The sequence below is a fragment of the Homo sapiens genome, chromosome X (genome assembly GCF_000001405.40).
Source record: "Homo sapiens chromosome X, GRCh38.p14 Primary Assembly".
Classification (NCBI taxonomy): domain Eukaryota; kingdom Metazoa; phylum Chordata; class Mammalia; order Primates; family Hominidae; genus Homo; species Homo sapiens.
In genome coordinates this window covers 153,599,219-153,626,616 of record NC_000023.11, presented here as the reverse complement: position 1 = coordinate 153,626,616, position 27,398 = coordinate 153,599,219, and the positions used below count along the sequence as shown (strand labels likewise).

The 27,398-nt window shown below is 50.5% G+C and overlaps 1 long non-coding RNA gene and 2 pseudogenes across 1 annotated transcript, besides 6 other annotated features; 1 reads left to right on the top strand and 2 right to left on the bottom strand.

The window, feature by feature from the left end:
- Positions 2,674-3,173: an enhancer, noted in NCBI's record as "H3K4me1 hESC enhancer chrX:152888899-152889398 (GRCh37/hg19 assembly coordinates)". NCBI's record gives its function as "activates a minimal SCP1, AML or CMV promoter by ChIP-STARR-seq in naive H9 embryonic stem cells {active_cell/tissue: H9 hESC(naive)}" and the evidence as "EXISTENCE:reporter gene assay evidence [ECO:0000049][PMID:30033119]".
- Positions 16,529-16,638: a silencer, noted in NCBI's record as "silent region_21067". NCBI's record gives its function as "represses an Ori minimal core promoter by ATAC-STARR-seq in GM12878 lymphoblastoid cells {active_cell/tissue: GM12878}" and the evidence as "EXISTENCE:reporter gene assay evidence [ECO:0000049][PMID:35858748]".
- Positions 18,580-20,522, bottom strand: MRFAP1P1 (MRFAP1 pseudogene 1; annotated as a pseudogene).
- A 745-nt stretch (positions 20,523-21,267) lies between these two features.
- KRT18P48 (keratin 18 pseudogene 48) lies at positions 21,268-22,121 on the top strand (annotated as a pseudogene).
- Positions 24,966-25,465: an enhancer, noted in NCBI's record as "H3K4me1 hESC enhancer chrX:152866607-152867106 (GRCh37/hg19 assembly coordinates)". NCBI's record gives its function as "activates a minimal SCP1, AML or CMV promoter by ChIP-STARR-seq in naive H9 embryonic stem cells {active_cell/tissue: H9 hESC(naive)}" and the evidence as "EXISTENCE:reporter gene assay evidence [ECO:0000049][PMID:30033119]".
- Positions 25,466-25,967: an enhancer, noted in NCBI's record as "H3K4me1 hESC enhancer chrX:152866105-152866606 (GRCh37/hg19 assembly coordinates)". NCBI's record gives its function as "activates a minimal SCP1, AML or CMV promoter by ChIP-STARR-seq in naive H9 embryonic stem cells {active_cell/tissue: H9 hESC(naive)}" and the evidence as "EXISTENCE:reporter gene assay evidence [ECO:0000049][PMID:30033119]".
- LOC105373383 (uncharacterized) lies at positions 26,724-27,277 on the bottom strand. Its single transcript, NR_131982.1, has one exon. It is a non-coding gene; the product is annotated as an uncharacterized LOC105373383 (long non-coding RNA).
- Positions 27,108-27,247: a silencer, noted in NCBI's record as "silent region_21066". NCBI's record gives its function as "represses an Ori minimal core promoter by ATAC-STARR-seq in GM12878 lymphoblastoid cells {active_cell/tissue: GM12878}" and the evidence as "EXISTENCE:reporter gene assay evidence [ECO:0000049][PMID:35858748]".
- Positions 27,348-27,397: a silencer, noted in NCBI's record as "silent region_21065". NCBI's record gives its function as "represses an Ori minimal core promoter by ATAC-STARR-seq in GM12878 lymphoblastoid cells {active_cell/tissue: GM12878}" and the evidence as "EXISTENCE:reporter gene assay evidence [ECO:0000049][PMID:35858748]".

Below are 27,398 nucleotides of genomic sequence, written 5' to 3'. Positions count from 1 at the left end.
CAGTCACCCCACAACGTCTCAACAGCCCAGGCCCCAGCCACAGCGCCCCGGTGAAGGGGCAAGCTTGGGCACCAGGACACACAGCCGAAGGCCACTGGGCACCTCCCTGCCTCTGCTTGAGGAAAGGGGCTCCGAAGCTGTCCCTGCACTGGGCCCCCTGGGGGCCCTGCTCCCTGCAGCCGGAGGTTCCCTGAGCGGCATCCCCGCCCTTCCCCTAAGCCCTGGGTGGACGGCTTTCGTCCTGGGAGCACAGGCCTGCTGAGGGCTCCTTGCTGTGGGCCAAGTGCTCCTGGCCAGGGCCCAGGGTCTCTGAAGAAAAGAAACCCCTGAGCTCTGGTTTCTCAGGGGCCAAGGGGGCACCTAACTCATGCTCAGCTCCCAGCAGCCAGGGCTGGGTGGGCAAGGCTGGGACATGGGAGCGCTGAACCCTCGGTATATTAAGGGGACACCGGTGCCTGGTGAATGCAAAGCCCTAACGTCCCTGTCCTCCAGATCAGGACGCTTAAACTCATTGAACCTCCTTTTTCAACTAGATGCCAGTGTGGGAAAGGCCTCTGCCCCCAGGATCCCGCAGCCAGCCTGGCCAGCTGAGCCAGCCTAAGGCAGAGGAGGGTCCCCCAACTCTCCTTCCACCTCCTTCAGACCATGTGGCTCCACAGTTGGCCCTGGGGGGAGGTGCTGCCTTGGCTCCCGCCCTGCCGTGAAGGTGGCTCACAGCCCCCTTTGGCCTGGTCTTTTCCCACTGGCTCAGTCCTTTGGGGGACTCGCTCACTTCCCATGGACAGCTTGGCTTCACCCTGGACTTCCCTGCTGGGCCTCTGGGGGCCTGCTGCTGACCTGTCCCCAGGAGGGAGCTGCCTCTGGCCTGGCAGGTGCCCCCAGCACAGCGGGCAGGACCACAGCTGTGGGACGGCGCTTGCTCCCCTGTGCCCCGGCTACCTCGCCTGCCCATCGTGGGCCAGCCTGGGACAAGAGGAGAACGGGAGACTGGAGCTGGGGGGCAGCCAGGCCAGCCAGACTGGGAGGGGGTGGCCGGGACCCAGGGAGGAGAGGGGAACTCCCCGCTCCCAGACCCCCCGACTCTTCCTCCCCAGCCCCTCCTCACCCACCTTCACACTCCAGCTCTTTCTCCTCCCTTGGCTCTGCCAGGGGCTGTCTCACCCCCTGGACTGCTGACCTGCCGGGCAGTGGCCGCTTTGCAAGTGGCTTCTGGGCCAATGCCCGGAGGGGTGGCGCGAGAAGACTGACCAAGAGGAAGAGATTTGGCTCCAGGGCAGTGAGTGGAAGGCTCTTTCCCCCGGGTACCCCGTCTACCCTTCAAAGAGGGGGAGGGTACGCCAGCCATGCCTCAACAACAGTCGTCCATTTCAGAGGCTGCCCAGACCACCCTCTGCTCCCTGCAGGAAATACTGAACCTCTTCATTCATTCATTCATTCATTCAACACATATTGAAGCACCTGTGCTGGTGATAGAAGAGTGGACTCGACCAAGTGTCTGTCGCCATGACTTTGATATCCTAGCTGGGGAGTCGGAAGGTTACCTGAATGAAGGTCAGGTTATTCCAAGCCAGGGTGCACCTGGGCCCAGGCATCCTCTGAGCCCCTTAGCACGAGCATGGCTGTGGCAGGTTCCTGACTCGCCAACCTCTTGTCCTCTGGCACCTGGAGGACCCTGGGTGGCAGTGCCTGTACAGCCGTGAGACCTCCCTGGGGTCCAGAAACTGTGGCTACTGGGCTTCATGGTAAGCCCGGGCTCCTAGGCCTGTGAGGCGCTGGGGCTCTGGCCAGCCTGTAGCCTTCAGTGGGGTGGGTCTGCACAATGGAGCCTCTGCCATGGCCTTCCCTTCCCTCCTTCCTTGCAGTTAACCTACATTTGGTGTCTCCTGGCTTTGCCCTTCATTTCTCCTGCTCACGGTGCCAGCCTCTGAGAACAGGCTGCTGGGCCGTCCCAGTCCCTCCTGCCCCTCCCCCTTACTTGAAGCCAGAGGTCATGGAGCTGAAGCACCAGGCCATGGAGGAGGGTCATGGGAGAGAGAAGGGAACTGTCCAAAGGGGGTGAAGGAGAAGGGGGGGACACCTGGTTGGGGCAGGTGACTGTCAAGAAGACTTTCCAGAAGTCTGGCTAGGAGGCACGGTCCTGTGAGCAAGAGGGTGTAGCTGGAGGGGGCTCCAGTCTGCCTGTCCCTCCCCCACCTTGGCTGTGTCCCCAGCCTTCCTCCCGGTGGCCCAGCCCAGCCCGGCCCTCGCAGTCAGTGAGTTCCTCCTGAGCCAGTTCTGACAGGGACCTGTCCTCCAGGTCAGGGGGTGTTCCATGTGGCTTGGTTCTGTGGGGTCCAGTCTGCCCAGCCAGCGGCCCTGGGGCTTGACTGTGGTTGGCGGCCCTTGATCCACGGCACCCACCACTTGTGTGTTTCAAGGGGCTTTTTCTCACCAAATGAGTGTCCCATGGTTGCCATAAGAAATGACTATGGACCCTGAGGCTTCAAACAGCAGCAATCTCTTCCCTCACAGCTCTGGAAGCCAGAAGTCTGAGATCCAGGTGTGCGCAGGGCCGAGTCTCTAGGGGGGATCCTTCCTGCTTCTTCCAGCTCCTGGGGGCTCCAGGCTTCCTCAATTTCTGCCTCCATCTCCACACGGCCTTCTCCTCTCTGTCTCTCCTGTGTCTCAGAAGGATGCCTGTCATTAGATTTGGCACCCCCTGCCCCCCGTCATGTAGGCTTACTGTCATCACATCTGCAGATACCCTCTTTCCTAAAAGGGTCCCACTCACAGGCTCCAGAATGTGGACACATCTTTTGGGGACCAGCACACCCCGACAGGCACCCCATTTCTGAGGACAGCAGCAGGTGGGTGCTGACGGGGCGGCTGCTCTCTGCTGAAGTGTGAAAGGGCTAAACCCTGCAGTAGGGACCCCTCCCTCCTCCTGGCCCAGCCGCCAAAGCCACACGCTCTGTCGCCCTTGCCTGCTCTGGCTCTGGAGAGCTGAGGGCCCTTCTGGGGGCCCAGATGTGTCCGTGGCTGAGCTCGGGTACAGGTTGGTGCCTGAGGTGTCCCTGTTTGTGACTGAGAGGAGTGGGCGTTGGAGAGGCCAAGTCCTTGACCTAACCTAGCCAGAGGGGAAGGGCCGGTGTCCTTGCAGAGGGGCTGACCTCAGGAGGGAGCAAACACAGGGGGCAAGGACAGGCCATCTGGAGGGCTGGCAGGAAGCAGAGTGGTGGGGGGCGGTGGGTCCAGTGGTGTCAGGGAGCTCTGGGGCCCGAAGGATGTAGGGGCAGGAGTGTGCCAAGACAAGGGTCCGCCCACGTCTTGGGGGCCTCCTCGAAGGCTTCCATCAGTCCCATCCCCCAAACCTTTGCTGTTCTACCCCTTCCTATCCCCATGCTTGGAAATTATGCGGCCACATAAATGCTGCTCACGGTGGGGCCATGCGAGCTGCATTTTGTTTTCCCAGGAGTTAATCATTGTCCTTTGGGTAGCTGTTTGCTCGTATCACGAACTCAACCCTAGACCCCATCCGTGTGTGGAAATGTTCTCTCAAGATGTCCAAACACAGCCGGCATTTGAGTGATTTCATCTTGCAGAAACCCTCTCACAGCAGAGCCTCTAACCTCCCCAGGCTGTCTGCCTCGCCCCTGCCCCTAGGCGAAGCTGGCATCCTGGGTCTCCCTCTGCCCTTCCCCCCTCCTATGTTGCAGCCCTCAGTTTATGGTCACTTTTCCTTTAAAAGTAATGTCCTGCTTGTGTAAAGTTAAAAACACACATTGAGAAAGAGCTAGACGGAATCTCAGTAGCCTTGACTGTTCCGCGTGACCTTGAGCAATCATCTCCCCTTGCGGGATCTCGCTCGCATTATCTCTGGAAGGACAGAGTTGGACTGCAGTCATTCATGAATGCTTCACTTATTCACCAGACACTCATTTCGTGGTGACTCTTAAGAAATGGTTTATCATGGAAAAGTTCAAACATAAACAAAGACAGAGTTCATGAAACCCTGTGGATCCATCAGCTGGCATCAACAGTTCGCCCACATTTTTCATTTATACTTTTCTTTTTTCTGCCGGAATATTTTTTAACTTGTTCTTTTTAAACTGTTAGATTCACGAGGACGTTGGTAAGAAGTGCCTGGGAGGCTGTGGCCCCTCCCCACAGGTCCCTCTGACATTGGCTACTTGAACGCCCGAGGCACAACCGGAACCTGGACGCGACATCGATGCTCGGGTGTCTCCTGTGTGCGCACACTCGTGTATGTGCGTCTCTATGCAACTTCATCACTGTGTACATTCATGGAACTGCCAGTGCAATCAAATTACAGAGCGGTTTCCTCACCACTCTGCTACCCCGTGCTACCCCTTTATAGATGTGTGTTTTTGTAAGAAACTGCCAACTGCTTTCCCGAGTGGCTGCCCGGTTTGACATATCCACTAGCGATGGGTGAGCGCTGGTTTCTCCACACACCCACTCCGGCATCTGCTGTGGTTTAGTTCAGCCATGGGATAGGTGTGTGATGCACCGCACTGCGGTTTTGATTTGTGTCTCCCTAACAGCTGGTGATGCTGAGCCCCTTTTCGTGTACCTCTTGACGACGGTAAGACTGATCAGCAGATTCAGATGGTGTCGGCCTGATCTGGCCTTTATAGAATTCTCTAGTATCCTTTTGCCCAGTGTTTTTATCACCTAGATCCATTATTTAGGGTTAAAAATGGTGATTTTTCGATTCGATTCTATAATTCTTCCTGCATTTCCTAGTTGGAATTCGGTAACAGAAGAGCTTTCCCTCATCGACTGTTTGGTCACCATAAAAAACAGGTGGGGCAGGAATAGCCAGATAGCCATGTGAGTCTTCTTTCTATACATCACCCTTCAGAGTCACAAGCCAGTCCCCAACAACTTCTGCAAGTGACCCACAATTAAGAATATTCTGACTCTGGGCTGGGCATGGTGGCTCACATCTATAATCCCAGCACTTTGGGAGGCCGAGGTGGGCAGATCATTTGAGGTCAGGAGTTCGAGACCAGCCTGACCAACGTGGTGAAACCCTGTCCCTACTAAAAATAGAAAAAAATTAGCCAGGCATGGTGGTGCACGCCTGTAGTCCCAGCTACTTGGGAGGCTGAGGCAGGAGAATCGCTTGAACCTGGGAGGTGGAGGTTGCAGTGAGCGGAGATCAACGCCGCTGCACTCCAGCCTGGGTGACAGAGCAAGACTGTGTTTCAAAAAAAACACATATATCCCACCAGGTGTGTACAATAAAAATACTGCTTTTCCTGTCTTGTCTTTTTCTTTTCTTTTCTTTCTTTTCCTTTCCTTTCCTTTCCTTTCTTTTCTTTTCCTTTCCTTTCTTTTCTTTCCTTTTCTTTTCTTTTTTTTTTTTTTCTGAGACGGAGTCTTGCTCTGTCGCCTAGGCTGGAGTGCAGTGGTGCAATCTTGGCTCACCACAACCTCTGCCTCCCAGGTTCAGGCGATTTTCCTGCCTCAGCCTCCTGAGTAAATGGGATTACAGGTGTGAGCCACCACGTCCGGTCAACCAAAATACTGTGTTTCAAGACACTTGAAATACTTCTATATATGATTATGCCGCCAACTTTTATATGGTTTGGTTCATCTGTTTCTGTTTGTTTGATTCTTAGGGATGGCAGTGATCTTTCTTTTTGATTTTTTATATTATGGAAAACTTTTTTCATTAAACAATATATGTGTATTCATATCCCCACATTTTTATACAAAAAATGGCATATTGTCGTGTGCCTCACTGTTGGGTGTATCTTGGTATGCTGGGGTGCCCAGGGCAGCATGCTGACTCTAGTTGCATAGTATTCCAACACGCAGGTCAGCCCCAGCTTGTTCAAACAGGCCCAGCTGATGGATGGTGGCGTCGTTTCCAGTACTTTGCTATTACAAATAATCACCCATTCTTGTTAGGTCTGTAGGACTCCTTCCCTCCCTCCCTCTCCCCCATTCGTTTGCATATATATATACACATATGTATATACATATATATACACACACATATATACATATATACACACACATATATACATATATACACACACATATATACATATATACATATATACACACATATATACATATATACATATATACACACATATATACATATATACATATATACACATATACATATATACACATATATACATATATACACATATATACATATATACATATATACACACATATATACATATATACATATATTCACACATATATACATATATACACATATATACATATATACACATATATACATATATACATATATACACATATATATACATATATACATATATACACACATATATACATATATACACATATATATACATATATACACATATATACATATATACATATATACACATATATATATACATATATACATATGTATGTGTGTGTGTGTGTGTATGGGTATATATATATATATTTGGTCATCTGTGTAGCTGAATCTCATCCTAACTGATAGAAGAGAGAACCATGCAGATGGTGGTGGGGGGGTGGTTCCTTTTAGACTTCTCATTCTGCAAGTGTTGGGCCTTGTCTTCTGTCCCCACAATCCATGAGGCCATGAAAACTGAAGCCCAAAGTCACCAGGGTCTGCAAATGCCCGAGGGTGACAGTTAGCCTCACTGTTCTGGTTACCTCTCGGAGTTCCTGCTTTGACTTAATTTTTGGACTCTGGGAATTCCTTACTTCTCTGCCATATCATTGGTGCATTTAGAAAAATGATTTTAAGGCCAGGCACAGTGGCTAATGCCTATAATGCCAGCACTTTGGGAGGCCGAGGCAGGAGGATCACTTGAGCCCAGGAGTTCGAGACCAGCCTAGGCAACAGAGTGAGACCCCCCGTCTCTATAAAAAATTAGCCAGGCATGGTGGCACCTGTAGTCTCAGCTACTCGGAAGGTGGGACCATAAAAGGTGTTGTCATCATCGTCAGGATGAACTGCAAATGTCGACCACTACCTCTTCATCACCAGGCCTCAAGGAGAATTGCTCATTTCTAAGCCTGGCATGAGGGGGAGGGGAAAATACCTCCTCTTGAGTATTTGTACTCACAAACCAGCAGCACATGGCTTTGCAGCTGGGATTTACAACACCCAGATAGGCCATTAACTCCTCAAACTGAGAATTTAGTTTAAAATACTTCTGGGCCAGGTGTGGTGGCTCATACCTGTAATCCCTCCACTTTAGGAGGCCAAGATGGGAGGATCACTAGAGCTCAGGGGTTCAAGACTAGCCTGGACAATATAGAGAGACCCCCCCCCCCCAATCTGTACAAAAAAAAAAAAAAAAGCTGGGTGTGGTGGCATCTGTGGTTCCAGCTACTCAGGAGGTTGAGGCAGGAGGATCACTTGAGCTCAGGAGTTGGAGGCTGCAATGAGCCATGATTGCGCCATTGCACTCCAGCCTGGGTGACAGAGTGAGACCCTGTCTCAAAAAAAAAAAAAAAAAAAAAAAAAAGGTTCTGGGTTAAAGTGCCCCGGAAAACTGTCAGAAGGCAATGCAAATCCTCTCTGGAGGGACCCACCTTCAACCAGGTCTCAAGGCATTCCCACTCTGAAGACCTGAGAAGGAAAAACATCCAGTAAAAAAATCCAAACACACGAGTGAAACAGGAAAGCGCTCCATGGGTGAGTGCCAGCAGAGCACAGCTCCCACAGCCAACGCTGGGATTATCAGCTACAGAGCATAACGTCAGTGTGTTTAATACATTGGGAGAAATCGAAGAGGGGGTTGAAAATATCAAAAAGGCAGCATTCTATGAAACAACCAAGGATATATGAAAATGAACCAAATTATACTTTTAAAAGTGGAAAATAAGGTAGTTGAATTTAAGAATTCAGTGAAGGACTTCCTCTTGTGATCATGATAAATTAGTGAATTCATGCCTCCGTCCTACTGAGGGCAATTAGAAAAGCTGGAAAAATATAAAAGTCACCTGCTTGAAGGCATCATAGAGCAAAAAGAGGATGAAGAACTTCCAGGGCAGGATGCTAGGGAGGCGAGGCCAGTGTTTGCAGCTGCTCACGCCCTGAGGGTGATTGGAGATTGAGAACAAGGGGAGTACAAACTGTCCAGGGCTTTTGACAGCTCCTGGGGCTATCAGGACAGGCACGGGAACCAGGACCCTGCTCATGGAGCACCCTGGTGCATCTCTCTCATTTCGGTGGGGACCCTGTAGGGCTGTTCTCTAGGAGTAAAGGTGATCCAGCAATGGAAAGTCTCCTAGTACTTCAGCTAGCTTTTTAGCCTCTCAATACCCAAAACTGGATTAGGGCAACTAATCTTAGATTGCTGGCATCCTCAGAAGCTGGGACAGCCAAGTGGCATCTTCTCTGGAGGAAGGTGACATTGCCCTCGTCCTTAAGTTATCACTATAAAAATGTTTGCAATTGAAATGTTCAGCAAACAATAAAAATAACTAGGCATATGAAGAGTGAAGGCAATATGAATGAAAGCAGCAGAAATAGACCCATAGTGGAATTATCAAATACAAACTTTAGGATAACCTACGGGAATCAAGACTGCATGGTATTGACATAAGAAAAGGCTCATAGATCCATGGAATAGAATTGAGAAGCCAGAAATAAACCCACACATCAATGGTCAATTGATTTTTGCCAAGTGCACCAAGACCATTCAATGGGAGAAAGAATCATCTCTTTAACAAACGGTGCTGGGGTAACTAAACATCCACATGCCAAAGAATGAAGCTGAACTCCAGCTTCACACCATACAGAAAAAGTCACTCAAAATGGATTAAAGACTCACATGCAAGCCCCAAAACTATGAAACTCTTAGAAGAAAACGTAGGTGTAAGTCTTCATGACCTTAGATCAGGCAATAGTTTCTTAAACGTGATACACAAAGCCCAAGTGACAAAAGATAAAATAGATACATTGGACTTCATCAAAATTGAACAGTTCTGTGCTGCAAATGTTACTATCAAGAAAGTGAAAAGACAACTCGCAGAATGAAATAGAAGATTTGCAAATTATATATCAGATAAGGGACTTGTATCTAGAATATATCAAGAACCTCACAAAAACCCACAATAAAAAGACAAATGACCCAATTTTTAAAGTGAGTGGAGGATTTGAATAGATATTTCTCCAAATAAGATGTGCGAGAGGCGAATGAGCACAGGAAAAGATGCTCGACATCACCAGTCATCAGAGAAATGCAAATCAAAGCCACATGAGATACCACTTCACACTAAGATGGCTCTGTTCAAAAGGACGGACACCGACAAGTGTTTCCCAGGCGTGGTGGCTCATACCTGCAATCCTAGACTTTGGGAGGCCAAGGTGGGCCCATCCCTGAGCCCACGAGCTCAAGACCAGCCTGGGCAAATGGTGAAACCCCATTTCTACAAAAAATACAAGAAAATTTAGCCAGGTGTGGTGGTGCACGCCTGTGGTCCCAGCTACTGTGGAGGCTGAGGTGGGAGGATCATGAGCCCAGGAGGTGGAGGCTGCAGTGAGCCATGATCGTGCCACTGCACTCCAGCCTGGGTAACACAGTGAGACACCATCTCTACAAAAAGTTAAAAAAAATTTAGCCAGGCATGTAGTTGTGCACCTGTGGTCCCAGCTACTGGGGAGGCTGAGGTGGGAGGGTTGCTTGAGCCTGGGAGGTTGACACTGCAGTGAGCTATGATCATGCCACTGTACTCCAGCCTGGGTGACAGAGCAAGACACTGTCTCAAAAAAAAAAAATACTATAATCTACAGACCTTAGAGTTTATTGATTGTGCCAATAATATCTTTTCTATAATGTTCTTTCCAGAAAAGGAGCACCTCTGATCACACGTTCTATGCAGTTGACCTAGCTCTTTAGTCTCCTTAAGTCTGGACCAGCTCTTTGTTCTTCGTGGTTTTCGACAGTTTTCAGGAGCATATGGGCCAGTGATTTTGCAGCATTTCTGTGTGTTGGGGCTTGGCTGATGTTTCCTCATGATTCCATCCAGGTTTTGCACTTTCCATGGGAATAGCTCAGAAGTGCTGCTTCCCTCTCTGTGTATGGCATCAGGAGGCCACGACACCAGTCCCCTTGTCCCATTGCTGATGATGATCACTTTGATCATGTGGTTAAGGTGGCATCTTCCAGATGTCTCTACTGTCCAGTTCCCATGAGTTTTTTCATCCATTGATTATTTTTTGCTTGAAACTCATTACTACAATAGTTGCCAAATGGCGATTTCCTATTTCCATCATTCCTTCTTCATTTATTATTTGGCTTTCTTCTGTGAGAAAGAGCTTCTCTTCTCCCCCTTTACAATCGTGTGTTGCTTAATGATGGGGCTATGTTATGAGAAGAGTGTTGTTAGGTGATTACATCATTGTGCGAACATCCTAGAGCGCACATACGCAAACCTAGATGGTGTAGCTTACTGCACTCCCAGGCTATATGGTATGGCCTATTGCTCCTGGGCTACAAACCTGTACACTATGATAATGTAGGCAGCTGTTAACACAGTGGTAAGTATTTGTGTGTCTAAACCTAGAAAAGGTCCAGTCAAAATGCAGTATTATAGGCTGGGCACGGTGGCTCACACCTGTAGTCTCAGCACTTTGGGAGGCTGAGGCGGGAGGATCACTTGATCCTAGAAATTCAAGAACATCCTGACCAACATAGTGAGACCCAATCTCTACAAAAAAGTTTAAAAATAGCCAGGTGTGGTGGCAGGTGCCAGCTACTAGGGAGGCTGACATGGGAGGATTGGTTGAGCCTGGGAGGTCTAGGCTGCAGTGAGCTGAGGTCACGCCACTGCACTCCAGTCTGGGCAACAGAGTGAGACCCCATCTCAAAAAGAAAAAAAAAGTGCAGTATTATAATCTCGTGGGAACACTGTCATATGTGCAGTTTGTTTTTGACCAAAGTGTCATTATTCAGTGTACAACTCTACTTATTTCTTTTTATCACTGTGGACTCGGGGGTTTCTTACTTTCTGGAAGAACAGGGTGTTCTAGGCTCATCTTGACTTTCCCTGGTCTCCTTTTCTGGAATCAGCCATTTCTCCTAGGATCCCTAATTCATTTTGAGTGGATAATGACACTTAGAAGCTTACTGGGAAATTGCACACACATAGAGAATACATACATATATGTGTATATATGTATATACAGTCCCATATCTATCTATCTCTCTCTCTGTCTCTCTCTCTATATATATCCATCTATCTATCTACCATGAGTTCATACTGACCCATCCAATTTCAACCCAACAGCACCACGTCCCTTCTAGTCTTCCTCCTACTTGCTGGTTGGTAACTTCTTTCCCTCTTGCTGAGAAAGTTGGCTCCCATTACCTGAAATATATTTATGTATTTGCTCAGTCCTAGAATACTTGGAAAGTAGTTTCAGAATCATCAACTCATGTCTCTGGAAAGGAGAAAACTACTCTGCAGATTTCCAGGTTTGTCTAGAGTTATTTTTGTTTTTCACTCGAGGACATATAGTCCCATACCGTGTTCAGGTTGCTTGCCGAGTTTTTTTCTCTTTCAAGGTGGTTGTGTTATTGTTCGATATATGGTTTGCTTCACTTGTTTCCGTTTGTATTTCCTGTGAGGATCTATTTCCCCACCCTTGTGACTTGATCTGTTTTAGGTACTTTGAAGTTCAAATGCTCTCTGTCTTCTGATTATGACGAGGACATGGGTTTTGGGTGGGTTTATTTGTGCTTGCTTTTTAAAAGTGATTTTGGTTTGGAAGCTCTGTTGAGAGTTCCAGATTTAAGGGGCTGCCATTACCTTGGATATCCAGGATTTTCTGAAAAATCAATGTTTTGAGCATGCCAGTTCTTTCCAATTTAAGTTTTAGATTGAACGTAATTGTAATCTAAATGCCATTTGTAAACGGAGCTTGACAAGGTGGTTCTTAAATCTATATGGAAGAACAAATGGCACAGCTAAGACAGAGAGAAGGAGGAGGTGGGTGGAGTTGCCTCGGCAGATTCTAAGAATTATTATAAAGGTGCCATATTTAAGATAGTGCGGGCTGGGCACAGTGGCTCATGCCTGGAATCCCAGCACTTTGCGAGGCTGAAGAGGAGGATCACTTGAGCCCAGGAGTTTGAGACCAGCCTGGGCAACACATGGTGAGACCCTGTCTCTACAAAACGTACAAAAAATTGGCCAGGCATGGTGGCGGGCATCTGTAGTCCCAGCTACTCAGGGGGCTAAGGTGGGAGGACCACCTGAGCCCGGGAGGTCGAGGCTGTGGTGAGCTGAGATCGCGCCACTGCACTCTAGCTTGGGTGACAGAGTGATACCCTGTCTCAAAACAAACAAACAAACAACAACAACAACAAAAACCTTGATGTATGACAAAGCTGGCATTGCTGGCCAGTGGGGGAAGGAGATGTTCAATAAATAATGCTGGACAATTGGTTATCCATATGGAAAATAAGGTCTGACGACATCAAGTGTTGGCAAGGCTGTGAAACCGCTAGAAAGCTTGTATACTACAGGGGGGGGCATATGGATTGGTACAACCACTTGAGAAAACAATTTTTCATTGCCCAGCAAAGTTGCAAGTGTACATTTCTGGTGGCCCAGGGATTTTCCTCTGGATATGCCCACTAGTGAAACTTGTGCTGGGCATCAGGACTCTGGTAACAGCCCAAAAAGTGGAAACAATTCCCCCTTCCACCAAGCAGATGATGCAGAGATCAGTTGTAGTTTAATCCCACAACAGAACAGAATGCTTGCGGGAAGAATGGATTACAGCTCTTCGTCTCGGGAATACCACATTCAGCGGAAAGGCAGGTTACAGAATAATACAGACAGTATGATTCCATTTGTATAAAATTCAAAACAGGCAAAACTAAAAAATATATTGTTTGGGGATGCAAAGGTGGTGAAACTATAAAGAAATACACAGGAGTGGTATATGCAAAATTCCAGAAGGTCACCTCTGAAGTGGGGGTAGGGGACATGGGGCAATGAGAAGGGTCACCCAAGGTCCTTCAAAGGGAACGTTACCTTTCTTCTAAGCTGGTGGTGAGTACACAGAGGTTTGTTGTATTGTTCTTTACACTTACACATATTTTGTAAATGTCCTTTTGTGTCTACTCAGTATCTACTAGACCGTTTTAAAAGGTGAGAGTTCTGCTGAATTCCATATGGAGAGGCACCGTGATCCTTTTGTGGCTGAGAAACCTCAAAAGTCTTCATTAGGCCCTGGTGACCCCCCCAGGTAACAGATGAGGGGAAAAATTGGGTCCCAGGACTGGCTCTGACTGCTGCCATCTCTGGTCACAACAGCTGGTACCCACTGGTAGGGCTGTGCCTGCGGCTAAGATGTCAAAGTACTTCTGTACCCGTTGGTAAATTGCAGCTGCCCCCGAACCAGTCTCTCCTTTGGGACCCCCCCCCCTCCTCACCCCCTGCTCCTCCTGATCCAGAACTAGTGGCTCATTCTGGGCATAGCAGTGGCCCTTGGAGAACCTGCACCAGCCCCTCAGCAGCCTCTGTACCTGGGCTACCCTGGTGTTAAGTGCTGGGGACATTCACACTGTGCCCTTGGGGTCCCAGCACCCACACTTTGGGAGGAGAGAAGACTTCAGGTGACGTCCACCCACCAGCTCCGTGTGCAGCCCTGTCCACCCACAGCCAGTTTGCCTCATGGCTAGGTCACCTCCAAGCCTGAATTTGGAATTCAAATGAAGGAGTTTATTTTTACCTTTTATTCAACAGCGGCTGTAGCTTAATCAGTTCTCTAATGATCAATTGTTCTGGTTTTAAGAAATCAAGCACTTTGAAACCAATTCACTGAAGGCCCTTCTGTCTTTGCGAACGGATTGCTTGTCAGTCGGGTTAGGGGCTACTTCCTCTCCTGGGGGCTCTTTTTCTTCTCCTTTCTTCTAAAGTAGATGATCTGGTTGCCAGAGCCTTTTGCACAGGGTTGCCCATTTGCCCTTGGGCTGGCGTTGCCCCCTCTGGCTCCAGGCGATTGCTCCCTGTGCCCGCAGCTGTCGTGCCCGGCTCTGTGAGGGGAAGAGGGAAGCGAGGCAGTGTGGCCCCACACTTGGCTGCACTGTGTGTTTCACTATGTTTAATGCACAAAGAAAAACTGCATCAGGACACACAAAATCAGTCCAAAATATCTTTTTTTTTTTTTTTTTTCCTTAGACGAAGTCTCACTCTGTCCCCCAGGCTGGAGTGCAGTGGTGTGATCTCAGCTCACTGCAACCTCCGCCTCCCGGGTTCAAGCAATTCTCCTGCCTCAGCCTCCTAGAGTAGCTAGGATTACAGGCGTGTGCAACCACGCCCGGCTAATTTTTTGTATTTTTAGTAGAGACGGGGTTTCACCATGTTGGCCAGGCTGCTTTCAAACTCCTGACCTCGTGATCCCCGCCGCCTTGGCCTCCCAAAGTGCTGGGATTACAGGCATGAGCCACTGTGCACGGCCAGTCCAAAATATCTTAATAAAGTATGCTTATTTCTAGGAGAAAACGATCTTAGGAAAAGGTCTTTATCCAAAAGGACAAGAATTCTCTTGGTTTCCTCAGCTCAGGGGAGAGGCCTGAGTAGAGAAAACAGAAAGGACAAGGGCAAGATGCCCCAAAGGGGTAAGTGCCCTCCTGGCTCGTCTTGGCCTCTGGCCCCGGCAAGAATCACACACTTCCCTCAGGAGACCAGCCTTACTCACTCCCACAGAAGCCCGGACGGAAGCAGGCTGCCCTTAGGGGAATGCTGTGTTTTTAATCCATAAAATGCCAAAAAGCTGGGAGAAAATAAGGCCCTGCCAGAGCTGTGGACACAGCCCGCAGTCCCCGGAGGCTGTGGGGAGAGCTGGGTACGTCCCCCTGGGGATGGGGGGCACGCTGTATTCCTGAGGAGGCACCTGCCTGTCTGCCTGCTGAGGTTTCTGAAGGCAGGACATTTGCTGAGCCTGGCAGGACTGAAGGCACTCTTACCCCAGCTGCCTTCTGCCCTGGGGGCACAAGGTGTGGGGGCCAGAGGTCTGAGGGGGTCCGGTAGACGCTGGTGGGGCCCAGAGAGGACAGCGCTTCCCAATCCCAGAGGGTCTTTAGCCTCAGCAAGGAAGGGGCTGAGCCTGCCCTCAGAAAAGGGCGACCCCATTGGCAGGCATCAAAAAGCCCAGGCAAAGATGGGGCCCCTCTCACCCCCTCACCCTGGCACAAGTTCTGCCTGCCCCGGCCCGGGGGGGTGGGGGGTGGGAAGGGAGGGAAGGGAGGTCAGGTCACCTCCTCTCCATTCCAGTCCATTCCAGCCCCAAGGATGGGGAGGGGAGGCCCATGGGATGTGAGTCTGGGCTGAATTTTAATAACTGAAAAGGACCAGAAAAGTTAATGATCGGGGTGGGGGAGGTGTCAGAACACAGTGACTGGCGTAAACAAGCCCTGTCATGAGTTCCACCAACAGGAATGGTCTGGAATGGCCGGCACAGCCCCAGGAAGTGCTGGAGGGGCTGCAGACCCAGGTGTGATCACCCCGCTAGGCTGTGTTGCCCAAGCTGGGGCCAGGCCTCCAGGGCGCCTCCTCACCCTGTCCCCTCCAGATGGGGCAGAGCAGGGAGCAGCCGAGCAAGGACATGCGTTTGAGGACAAGTGGGCAGTACAGACATTTCCCACTCACTGAGGCTAGGAGGCTGGGCTGGGAGCGCCCCGGGGTGAACAGAAAGCACTGGGCTGTGAGGGAGTCCTTGAGCAGACTGGGTCCAACAGGAAGGCTGCAGCGGTGGAACCCCGAGCTCAGCCCTGCTAGTGATTTTCTAGGCTCTGTTGTGCTGTGCCAGCTCCGGACCTGTCAGGAAGCCACCCTTTGCTCTTTCTCTGGCCAGAAGAGAAGAAGGCTCTCCAGTCCTGATGGCCTAGGTCCAGCGCCCAGGCCAAGGGCGCCCCCACAGACAGGTGCTGACTCTAGCATTTGTCCATCTGGCCCGCGTAGCCGCCCTCCGGTGTCTTTAGATCCGTGGCCTTTTCTCCGTGGTGGGCGGGTCTCCAGGGCAGTCTGTCCCCTTCCTCGCGTGGCGGCCTGCTGCACACCAGCGGCAGCAGCATCCCGTCGCGGCAAATGGCTGCCGCGCAACAGGCTGCCTGGTGGCTGAGCGGAAACCATGGCAACGGGAAGCAGGGAGGATATTCCCGTCACCCTCTGGAAAGGGCAGCCTATTTCTGGGACCCGAGCCCAGTTCTTCACTAGTTGTGTATTTTGCTGTGAATTTCGATGCTGGAGACACGGCGTGGAGGGTGCGGGGCTGAGGCAGGGAGGGGGAGTGACCGCCCCCCGCCGCAACCCCGGGCCCGGAGGAGACCCAGCTCCGAGCTCAGCCCCGCCGGATCAGACCCCTCTCCAGCCACACCAGGGGAGGGCGGGCGCTTTGGGGGGCACTGGGGCGGGGTCTGCTTCCCAGTCCTCAACAGAGGGGACCTTTTGGAGCGCCTTGGCCGGGGACTGCCTGGGGCTCCCAGCAGCAGGGGGATGGGGTGGGGGTGGCGAGCTTAGTTCGCCGGACTCAGCGTCAAGCGAGCCCCCGCCGTGCGTGCACACGCGCTCGCGCACCTCCCCGCACGCGCACGCTGGAGCGGTGTGGCTTTTGGTGTAGACGGCTCTGCCCCCTAGCGGCAGCTGCGGTCAGCATGCGGGGCTCCTTCCAGGGAGGGCTTCGGAGAGGAAGGAGAAGGGGTCCAGGGAGGGAATCGCAGGCTGGGCTTGGGGCGGAAGATCCCAGGAGGGGCTCGCGGCGGCCCGCTGCCCCGGCAGCTCCTTTTCACCCGCCACCCTCGTCCTGGGTGACCTCAGTCCCTCTTATGCCTGTCCAGACCTTTCCCTTAGGGGACAACCCCCAGGAAGACATAGGCCCCTCAAACTCCACATGTCACAATGGAGCGCTTCTGCTTCCCACACCCGTTCCTCATCTCGGAGACTGGCACCTTCACCCACCTGGTTGGCCCAGACTTGGGAGAGCTCCTTGATATCTCCTCTTCCTCCTCCCCAACATCCACCTCCTCACTGATCCTGGGGATTCTCCATCCCAAATAGCTTTGAAATAATCCACTTCTGGTAGGCAGAATTTCGGCCCCCATGACCTTCATCCCCGTGTCACGCCCGTGAGTATGTTACATTACATGGCCAAAGGGACTTTGCCGATGTGATTTGGGCTACTCATCAGTTGACCTTAACATAGGGAGAGGAGCTCATACAAGCAGAGCTTCACTGGCCAAGGCCAGAAGCCGAAGTCAGAAAGATGCAGAGATGATGGGAAGAGCTCTTGGCATCATTGATGGCGGGAAGGTGAAACTAGGGCCTATAGCTCCAAGGAACTGAATTCTGCCAACACCTGAATGAGCCCAGTCCACCTGACACCTTCTTTTGTTGGTTTGTCTTTATTTTGAGTTGTGATAGATTCACAGGAAGTTCTAAAGACAGTGCAGGGAGGTCCCATGTACCCTTCACCCAGTTTCCCCATTTAAAGTATACATGCCAGGCATGGTGCCTCATGCCTGTAATCCCAGCACTTTGAGAGGCCATGATGGGTGGGTCACTTGAGTCCAGGAGTTCGAGACCTGGCAAACTGCCTTTACAAAAAAAATTTTAAAGTGTACAATGCAATACTTTAAAAAATATTCATAGAGTTATGTCACCATCACCACGATCTCATTCCAGAACGTTTTCATCATCCCCACCAGGAACCCTGTATCAACTAAGCACTAACTCCTCATTCTCCTCTCCCCCTAAGTCCTGGCAACCATTCGTCTTCCTTTCTATGGATTTGCCTGTTCCAATCTGTCATAGAAATGGACTCATATAATTTTGTGGCCTTTTGTATCTGGCTTCTTTGGCTTGGCATAATGTTTCCAAGGTTCACCAACACTGCAGCATGGACCAGTGTTTCATTGCTTTTGGGGGCTGAATAATGTTCCGTTGCCTGGATATGCCACATTTTGTTTATTCATCTATTGATGGACATTTGAGTTGTTTCTGCTTTTTGGCTATTATGAATAAATCTGCTATGAACATTCGTGCACATGATCTGGTGTGGGCATATGCTTTCAGTTCTCTTGGCTGTATAGCTAGGAGTGAAATTGCTAGGTCACATGGTTACTCTATGTTTAACCTTTGGAGGAACTGCCAGACTGTTTTCCCAAATGGCTATAACCATTGAACATCTTACTAGCAATGTATGAGGGTTCTGATTTCTCCACATCCTCTCCAAACAGACACTTGTTATTTTCCATTTTAATTTTATTATAGTCATCCTAACACGTGTGAATTTTATCTTATTCAAGTTTTTTTTTTTCTTTTTTGAGACAGAGCCTCACTCTGTCGCCCAGGCTGGAGTGCAGTGGCACAATCTCAGCTCACTGCAACCTCTGCCTCCCGGGTTCAAGTGATTCTCCTGCTTCAGCCTCCTGAATAGCTAGGATTACAGGCACCCACCACCACGTCCGGCTAATTTTTGTATTTTTGGGAGACACGGGGTTTCACCATGTTGGCCAGGCTGGTGTTGAACTCCTGACCTAAGGTGATCCACCTGCCTCAGCCTCCCAAAGTGCTCGGATTACAGGCATGAGCCACTGTGCCCAGCCTCATTCTAGTTTTGATTTGCATTTTCTAGTGATCTGCATCACTAATGACTAGTGATGTTGACCATTTTTTCATGTCCTCATGGCACATTGTATATAGTCTTTTGAGAAATGTCCATTTAGATTCTTTACCCAACTTTTTTTTCTTTTCAAGCAAATGAATACTTTGATTAACATGGTAAGTTTTAAAAAAAACATGGTAGGGTTTTGACCTCAAATATTTATCAGGTCTGCTACTTAAATGAACTTATAGCTGGACAATGTATGAACATTGAAGATGCCTCTTCCACTCCAGTTTAGGGTCCAATGTACAGTTCCACACTCTCATCCCCCAGCCCCTCAAGAGTCTTTGCAAATCTCTTTCATTTTATGCCGAGTCCCCGAAATGCATCAGGGTATTACATCAACTTGTACAGAATATCAAGATCTCATCCTCTAGTTCAGGTTCCATGTCAGATAAAGCTGAATTAGGTTGTCCAAACAAACTCACTAGACAGGTTATATCAGATAGTGTACCACATAAAATTTAAATTTTGAACAAAATGTGTCTCTCCTCCTTTGGTCTTACACAGAAATTAAAGTCCTCAAATACAGATAATACTCTCCATTCTCCAGCTCTTCTCCAGATTCATGGGTCCCAGCCAGGTCGGCCCATCCACATTCCCAGCTGAAGTCTGGTCCTTTCTTCAGTAGTTGCTGTATGGAGTCATCTTCTAGAATCATTGCGGCTCCTTCAGCCCCTCCAGAGCTGGAGAACTCCAACAATGAGGCTCATGTGTCACACACAGATCCAAAGTTCCAGGGAGCTATCAGATCACACAAGAAAGAGCAAAGCACCTCAAACATTTAGAAATAACAACCAAAGCCCAGGAACAAATGTGACTGCTGCAAGAGCGTGGTCTAGGCCCTCATTCCTGTATGAGAGAGCATTTTCCAAATAAACTTACTTCCCCAGACAAAAACACAAACAATCAAAACTCATATTGAGTTCATCAACCACAGACCATAGCAGAGAACTGAGTGTGAGTGAGGACAGAGCGTGGACAGAGTAAAATAGAGAAAACCAAAGGCTCTCTGGTTTCAGCTTCTTCTGGGTGTCAGCCAATCTCCACCAGTTTACCAGAATCCATTGGCTGTAAACCACCGACCGTGCTCTCGACTCGTTCGTCTCTATCCTCTGGGCCAGCTCCACCAGCATCTCTGCCATCTTCACCATTTCCTTGGCCTTCTCCTCGGCCTTCTGGCACCTCTTGGTCACCCTGCCCTCCACTGCGTCGCCCGGGTTGTGGAGGCGGTTGAGGATGCTCCTCCGAAGCCTCCACCTGGGTTTTGATCTGGAAGAGCATATTGTCCATCTCCCACAGCGTGCTCCGCTTCCACAGGTACGCCCGCCAGTGCTTGTCAGCGACGCGATGTCCTCTGGCATCTCATGGATGACCGGGAGCAGAAACTGCTCAAAACCCCCCTCCAGCTCCAGCACCTCCACTTCCTCCGGTTCTGACAGCTCGGCGACATCCAGGGGCCGCATCTCTTCCTGCTGCCTCGGAACTGCAGTAGCAACATGAGCAGAGCAGCGGTGAACAAAATCCCTTTACTGGTGAACAAAATCCCTTTACCTAATTTTAATCGGGCTATTTCTTTTTGTTATTGAGTTGCATTGGTTCTTTATATGATCTAGATACAAGTCAATTATCAGCTACTGTGTAATTTGCAAACAGGCTCTGTTACTTTGGGGGTCGCCTTGTCACTTTCTCGATGGTGCCCTTTGAAGCACAACAGTTTTTCATTTTCCAATTTAGTTTTTTCTTTGCTTGTTGGACACTTTGGACATCCTTTCTAAGAAACCATTGCCTAAGCCAAGGTCATCAAGATTGACTCCTGTGTTTTCTTCCAAGAGTTTTATAGTTTTAGCTCTTACATTTAGATCTATGATCCATTTTGAGTTAATTTTTGTATATGGTCTGAGCTAGGGGTCCAAGTTCATTCTTTTGCATGTGGATATCTAATTGTCCCAACACCGTTTGTTAAACAGACTATTCTTTCTGCCATTGAATGGTCTTGGCACTCTTGGCAAAAATCAATTGATCATAGATGTAAGGGTTTATTTCTGAATTCTTAATTCTGTTCAATTGATGTATAAGTATCTTTGTGCTAGTACCACACAGACTTGAGTCCTGTAGCTTTGTGGTAAGCTTTGAAATTAGGAAATGTGAGTCTTGGAAAATTAGGAAAAATAACTTTGTTCTTTTTCAAGATTGTTTTGGCTATTCTGAGTTTCTTGCATTTTCATATGCATTTTAGGATCAGCTTGTCAATGTCTGCACAAAAGCCAGCTAGGATTTTCTTTTCTTTCTTTTCTTTTCTTTTCTTTTCTTTTCTTTCTTTCTTTTTTCTTTCTTTCTTTCTTTCTTTCTTTCTTTCTTTCTTTCTTTCTTTCTTTCTTTCCTTCTTTCTTTCTTTCTTTCCTTTCTTTCTTTCTTTCCTTTCTTTCCTTCTTTTCTTTCTTTCCTTTCCTTTCTTTCTCTCTCTCTCTCTTTCTTTCTTTCTTCTTTATTTTTCTTTCTTTCTTTCTTAATTTAAGCCAGCTGGGATTTTAATAAGGATTCCATTTAACTTGTAGATCAATTGAGAGAGTATTGTCATCTTGGTCGTTGGCAAAGCCCGAGTCCTGTCCTCTCACTCTCCCGCCGGAGAGCATGAGCTTCACCACTGGCTCCACCTTTTCCACCAACTATCAGTCCCTAGGCTCTGTCCAGGCGCCCAGCTACGGCCCCTGGCTGTTCAGCAGTGAGGCAAGCGTCTATGCAGGTGCTGGGGGTTCTGGTTCCTGGATCTCCGTGTCCTGCTCCACCAGCTTCCAGGGTGGCATGGGGTCTGGGGCCTGGCCACGGGGATGGCCGGGGGTCTGGCAGGAATGGGAGGCATCCAGAACAAGAAGGAGACCATGCAAAGCCTGAACGACCGCCTGGCCTCCTACCTGGGCAGAGTGAGGAGCCTGGAGACTGAGAACCAGAAGCTGGAGAGCAAAATCCGGGAGCATCTGGAGAAGAAGGGATCCCAGGTCAGAGACTGGAGCCATTACTTCAAGACCATCGAGGACCTGAGGGCTCAGATCTCTGCAAATACTGTGGACAATGCCCGCACCGTTCTGCAGATCGACAGTGCCTGTCTTGCTGCTGATGACTTTAGAGTCAAGTATGAGACAGAGCTGGCCATGTGCCAGTCTGTGGAGAACAACATCCATGGGCTTTGCAAGGTCATTGATGACACCAATGTCACTCGGCTGCAGCTGGAGACAGAGATCGAGGCCCTCAAGGAGGAGCTGCTCTTCATGAAGAAGAACCACGAAGAGGAAGTAAAAGGCCTACAAGCCCAGATTGCCAGCTCTGAGTTGACCGTGGAGGTAGAGGCCCCAAATCTCAGGACCTTGCCAAAATCATGGCAGACATCCGGGCCCAATATGACGAGCTGGCTTGGAAGAAAAGAGAGGAGCTGGACAGTACTGGTCTCAGCAGATTGAGGACAGCACCAGAGGGGTTACCATGCAGTGACAGAGCGAGACTCCATCTCAAAAACAAACAAACAAACAAACAAACAAACCCTCTGAACTCAGTGAATGGAACCTTATTTGGAAAAAGCATCTGTGCAGATGTAATTAAGTTAAGGATCTCGAGATGAGATCCTCTTGGATTAGGGCCCTAAATCCAATGACAGGTGTCCTTATAAGAAGGAAAGAAGTCACAAACACAGAGGAGAAGGCCACGTGGATTCACAGAGAATACAGTGGTGCCGCCACAAGCCAGGGGACACCCAGATCCCCCGGGAACTGGAAGAGGCAAGAAGGAGCCTCCCCCAGAGCCTGCAGAGGAGGGAACAGGGTCCTGCAGACACCTGGATCTTAGGCTTCTGGCCTCCAGAGCTGCAAGAGAGTGCATTTCTGTTGTATTACTTTGTTATGGCAGCCACAGGAAAGGGTGGGGGGACCATGAAAGGAAACAAATACATCCTCACTTTGATACTTTTGTACAAATACGCCATAGGAAAATAACACATTTAGGGCCCCACTAATGCATGACAATTGAGTAACTCATGCTATAGACGGGCCTCCTTCTTCTCTCCCTGATACCTTGACCTCTACCCTCCCTCCCTTCCTTAGCCACTTGCTCCTGATCCCCAGATCCTGTCAGCATGTTGTCATGGATAGAGTGGACCTGTGTGACATGCGAGGGATGGCGAGATCAAGGTCCCTGGAGACAGACTGTGGCATGGAGCCGGAGAGCTAAAGCATCTTAGCGGGAAGGATAGTAAAAGCATAATGTTGCTCTTTGGGGCAAGTGGAAACTTCTAGAGTTCTCGTGTATGAGAATGGAACTGCAAATCATTTGCCAGTGGCTTTCCTGCTTTGCTCCAGCGAGAGGGTCACAGTGGGACCAGTGGCTGTGAGTGGAGTCCCCATGGGGTTGCAGGACAGGAGCTTCCACAAGGTGCCTCCTGCTGCAGGAGCCTTCACCCACCCGAGACGGGGAGCCAGCTGCTCATCACAGGAGGGGCTCAGGGGCTGCCTAGGAGACAGATTTCGGGCAAAGGTGTTTCCATCAGCTCCCACTCTGGCTGCTGTGCGCCCCCACAATGAGGATCCCCCATCTCCAACCATCGCAGCGGAGCCTTGTTTCAGAGGTGACCTCGCTGACCTCGTTGCAGGACTTTGAGGGTACACCCCACTCTGGTCCCCTCCCGCACCGCCTCCTTGCTATCAGGAGTCGTCCCTGGGCTATCGGAGGCCCAGGACAGCCCGGCCACCCTTGCTGTGGCTGTCCTGCTGACGCCCTGGGTTTCTCAGCTCCTTGCATTCACTTGGCCCTTCTGAGAGCTTCCTGGCTCCGTAACATTGCCCGCTTCTTCCAGCTGCTCTGCCCTCCGACTTTCTTTGCTGGCCAGTCTCCCAGCTCTTCCTTGTGAAACCCCTTCTCCCCATAAGAAGATTTTGTCCTCAGTGGCCCGATTGCATGTGGTAGTTTTAAAAAATAATGGATTTACTCAGATATCATTCACATACCATAAAATTCACCCACTTAAAGCATTCACAGAGTTGTGCCACCATTGCCACTATCTAATTCCAGAACATCCTTGTCACCCCTGTCTCCATCAGCAGTCACTCCCTGTGCTCCCTCCCTGGCCCTGGCACCCACTCATCTGGTTTCAGTCTCCCACACATCTATTGCTGGGGTGGATTTTCCGGCCCTCATGCCCAACTGGCACCACTTCTCCTTAGGTCCAACTTGGTCACACCCAAGATCCCGTGCATGCTCAGAGCTTGCTCAATTACTCTACTGAGCTCCTGGTTACTCAAATCGCTGAAAAAGAAAATAATACCAGGCAGAAGATTCACCAAAAAGTTACAATCTGACCAGGTTTTGTGGCTCACACCTGTAATTCCAGCACTTTGGGAGGCCGAGGTGGCCAAATCACCTGAGGTCAGGAGTTTGAGACCAGCCTGGCCAACATGGTGAAACCCCGTCTCTACTAAAAATACAAAAAATTAGCTGGGTGTGGTGGCACACGCCTGGCCTGTAATGCCAGCTACTCAGGAGGCTGAGGCAGGAGTATCACCTGAACCCGGGAGGTGGAGGTTACAGTGAGCCAAGATCATGCTACTGCACTCCAGCCTGGGCGGCAGAGTGAGAATCTGTCTCAATAAATAAATAAATAAATAAATAAATAAATAATTGAATAGAAAGATGAAGGGTGGGTAGGCAGTGGGGAGCGGGGAGGGAGAACAGAGATGGAGGCTGTGGATCTTGCCGATGGTGACAGGGAGCTGGCTCGGAAGGTACAGTGGAGAGGTGACTGTGGCAGGAGGTTCCCAGGCAGCGAGGAGTTTCTAAGGACAAGTGGCAGGCCTGGACTTTGATGAGGCTGCCAGGATGAAGACCAGAGCAGGGTGGGTGCTTTGGAAATTGCCCATGCTTTTTGAAGACCACACAGGCTTTCAAGTGACCCTGCCCGTGCACAGCCTCTCTTCTGGACCCCAAATGCCTCTTCCCTCTTTCTCTGCCTCATCCTTTGAGCTTCAGCCCGAGTCCTATTCCTTGAAATGAGTCACTCACTCTTTTCCATAATAGTGCTATTGTGAGGGGTAGGCTGTGATTTAATCAATGTATGGGCACATGGTGAGGATTAGCTAAGGAAGCGTTGGCAAATATTACAGAATCGCGCTTCTGATGGTGACTGTCAACCTCAGGGTCGAGCCTGGGGTTGAGAACCAGGCTTCAGCCCTCAAGGAACTCACCATCTGAGCCGGGGTGATGAGACGGGGGATGCCACCTTTGGGACACTGGGGACAGGCTTGCCAGTGGGAGAGGAGGTGCTGCCTAAAGGTTTGCTGGCTCCAGTTGGTGGCTAGTGAATTATTCATTCATCAACCACTGCGCCGAGGTGACCCAGGGCTTTAAAATTCATGTGTTCATTGAGTCATTCTCTCGGCTCACATTCCCAGGCACCTTTTACTTGCTGAGCCCGGACTCTTTTCAGCACATAAGGCCCAGAGGAGAAGGAGGAGTTGTGCCTAGAGGATGGGCGGGCCACCAGGGGCCAGAGGGAAGCACTGTTTGAATTGGGGTGTTCACATATGTGCACGTGTGCATGTGTGTATGTGGGGGGGGGATGTGTGATGCATGTGTGTGCGTGTGCATGGGGGTGTGTGTTAGTGTGCACAGATGTGGTGGTGGGGGAAGCTGAGAGGCAGCAGCCTGATCCCCCAAGGCCCATAGCTGCTTTAGGGAACATGGGCTTGAGCCTTCCAGATCTAGCTGTGGCTGGTCCAGCCCAGGGCACTGTCTGGGGGAACACAGGACCTGGCCTCCACCAACGGGGCTGAGGGGAGGTGGGCCCTCTGGGCATTGCCTAGGTTTCAGCCTTGGGCTGGGGAAGAGGGTGGGGCTGCTCACAGCTTGCAGACAGACACGGTGCTCAAGGCGTGGCAGGTGTCAGCAGCACAGGGAGCTGGGGACCCTGAGTCAGTCCACACACGCACACATATGCACACACACGTGCACACCCGCGCACATACAGACAAGAGCAAGCTGGGTGATGGAAGTGGAGTGGTAATTCCTTCACCAGGCAGAATACGTGCAGAGACGTTCAGCCAGGAGACCATAACCTTTGGGGGACCTGCCGAAGGTCTCTGCCATGAGGCAAAGTGGTGAGATCCGAGGCTGGTCAGTTGATAGGGTGACTCCACAAGGACCAGCATGTGAGGTCAAGGCCTCACATTTTCTCCTGAAGGTGAAGGGACTCCGGAGGGTGTTAGGCAGGGCAGGACCTGTTCAGCCTCGCCTTTTAGAAAGCTCGCTCTGGCGGCTGGTATTGTGGGGTGAATGCCAGCCCCCAAAAGGTGTGTCCGTGTCCTAATCCCTGTTACTGTGACCTTATTTAGCAGAAGGGCCTTTGCAAGATGTAATGAAAATAAGGATGTCAAGATGAGCTCCTCCTGGATTATCTAGGTAGGCCCTAATCCAGTGACAGGTGTGCTTATAAGAGACAGACGAGAAGACAGGGAGAAGGCCATGTAGAGACGGAGGCACAGATTGGAGTGATGGGGCCACAAGCCCAGGAAGAACTCAGGCTGCAGAAGCTGGAAGAGCAAGGAAGAACTGATCCTCTGCCAGAGCCTTTGAGGGAGCAAAGCCCTAGTGTCACCTCCATTTCAGGTGTCTGGCCTCCAGAATTGAGAGAGGATATACTTCTGCTGTTTTTAGCAACCCAATTTGTGGTCATTTGTTACAGCAGCCCCAGGAAACTAACCCAGCTGGGATGGAGAGAGGACTTGGGGAGGCTGGTGGAGGCAGGAAGTGCTGAGGAAGGAGAATGAGGCCGGACTGGGTGTGTGGGGTGGGGGTAAGAGGTGGAGACTTCCACACCATCAGGAGATCAAGGCGCCTGGGCAGAAGGGTTTAGGGAGCAGTAGCTTTTTCCTCTCCATATTGCCAGCTGTCTGAAATTGTAGCAATGATCTGAATGTATCAGAATGACTCCAGTGACTGTCACTAACTTGGGAGTGAGTACCTTTGGGGTTCTATGTCCCTAAAGCCTGATGCACCATTTCCTGCTTGTGGAAGACGCGAATGAAAAATGAGATGGTAAATACCTGAGTTCGATATTCAGCATTCATTCAGCAAACATTTATTAGGCTCCTACTGTGCGTCGCGCTGGAAAGGCAAGCAGAAGCTAGATTCCCAATCGATCCCGGGAGGCTGGACGATCCAGACACAAACACCGTTCATGCGTCTATTCGAAAAGGCCCTCTTGGAATTTTGTGCACAGCATTTCCTTGGGGTGTCGATGGATCGGGGTCTGCAAACATTAGCACCTTTTCCGGTGGCCGCTGTCTTCTCAGACCTCAGACACCGGCGCCTCCCCGTGAACTCCCGCAGGCGTCCCTAGCCCAGGGCTTGGCGGGCGCTGCCGGTTGTACCTGGCCTAAGCCACGCTGGGCCGACAGCCCGGGGCGACACCCCCTTCGGACGGCGGGGATTTGCGGCTCGGGTGACCGGAGGTGCCCTCCCGCGGGTCTCGGAGCAGCTCCGCGGGCTCTCGCTCCGCGGGGAGGAGCCTGCGTCTCCCAGGGGCGGGGCTCGAGGCGCCTAGGGGCCGGTGGACACATACCAGCCGCCCCGTGGTGTCGGCCTCTGCGCCTGCGCCTGCGCCTGCGCGCGCGGCCAGGCAGCGTCTGTGGCGCAAGCGCGCGCTCACCCTTGGGCGAGGGCCCTGAGGGGCGGGGCGGGGCGGAGGAGCGGCGGGGCGGCGAGGGGCGGGGCGGGGCGGCGA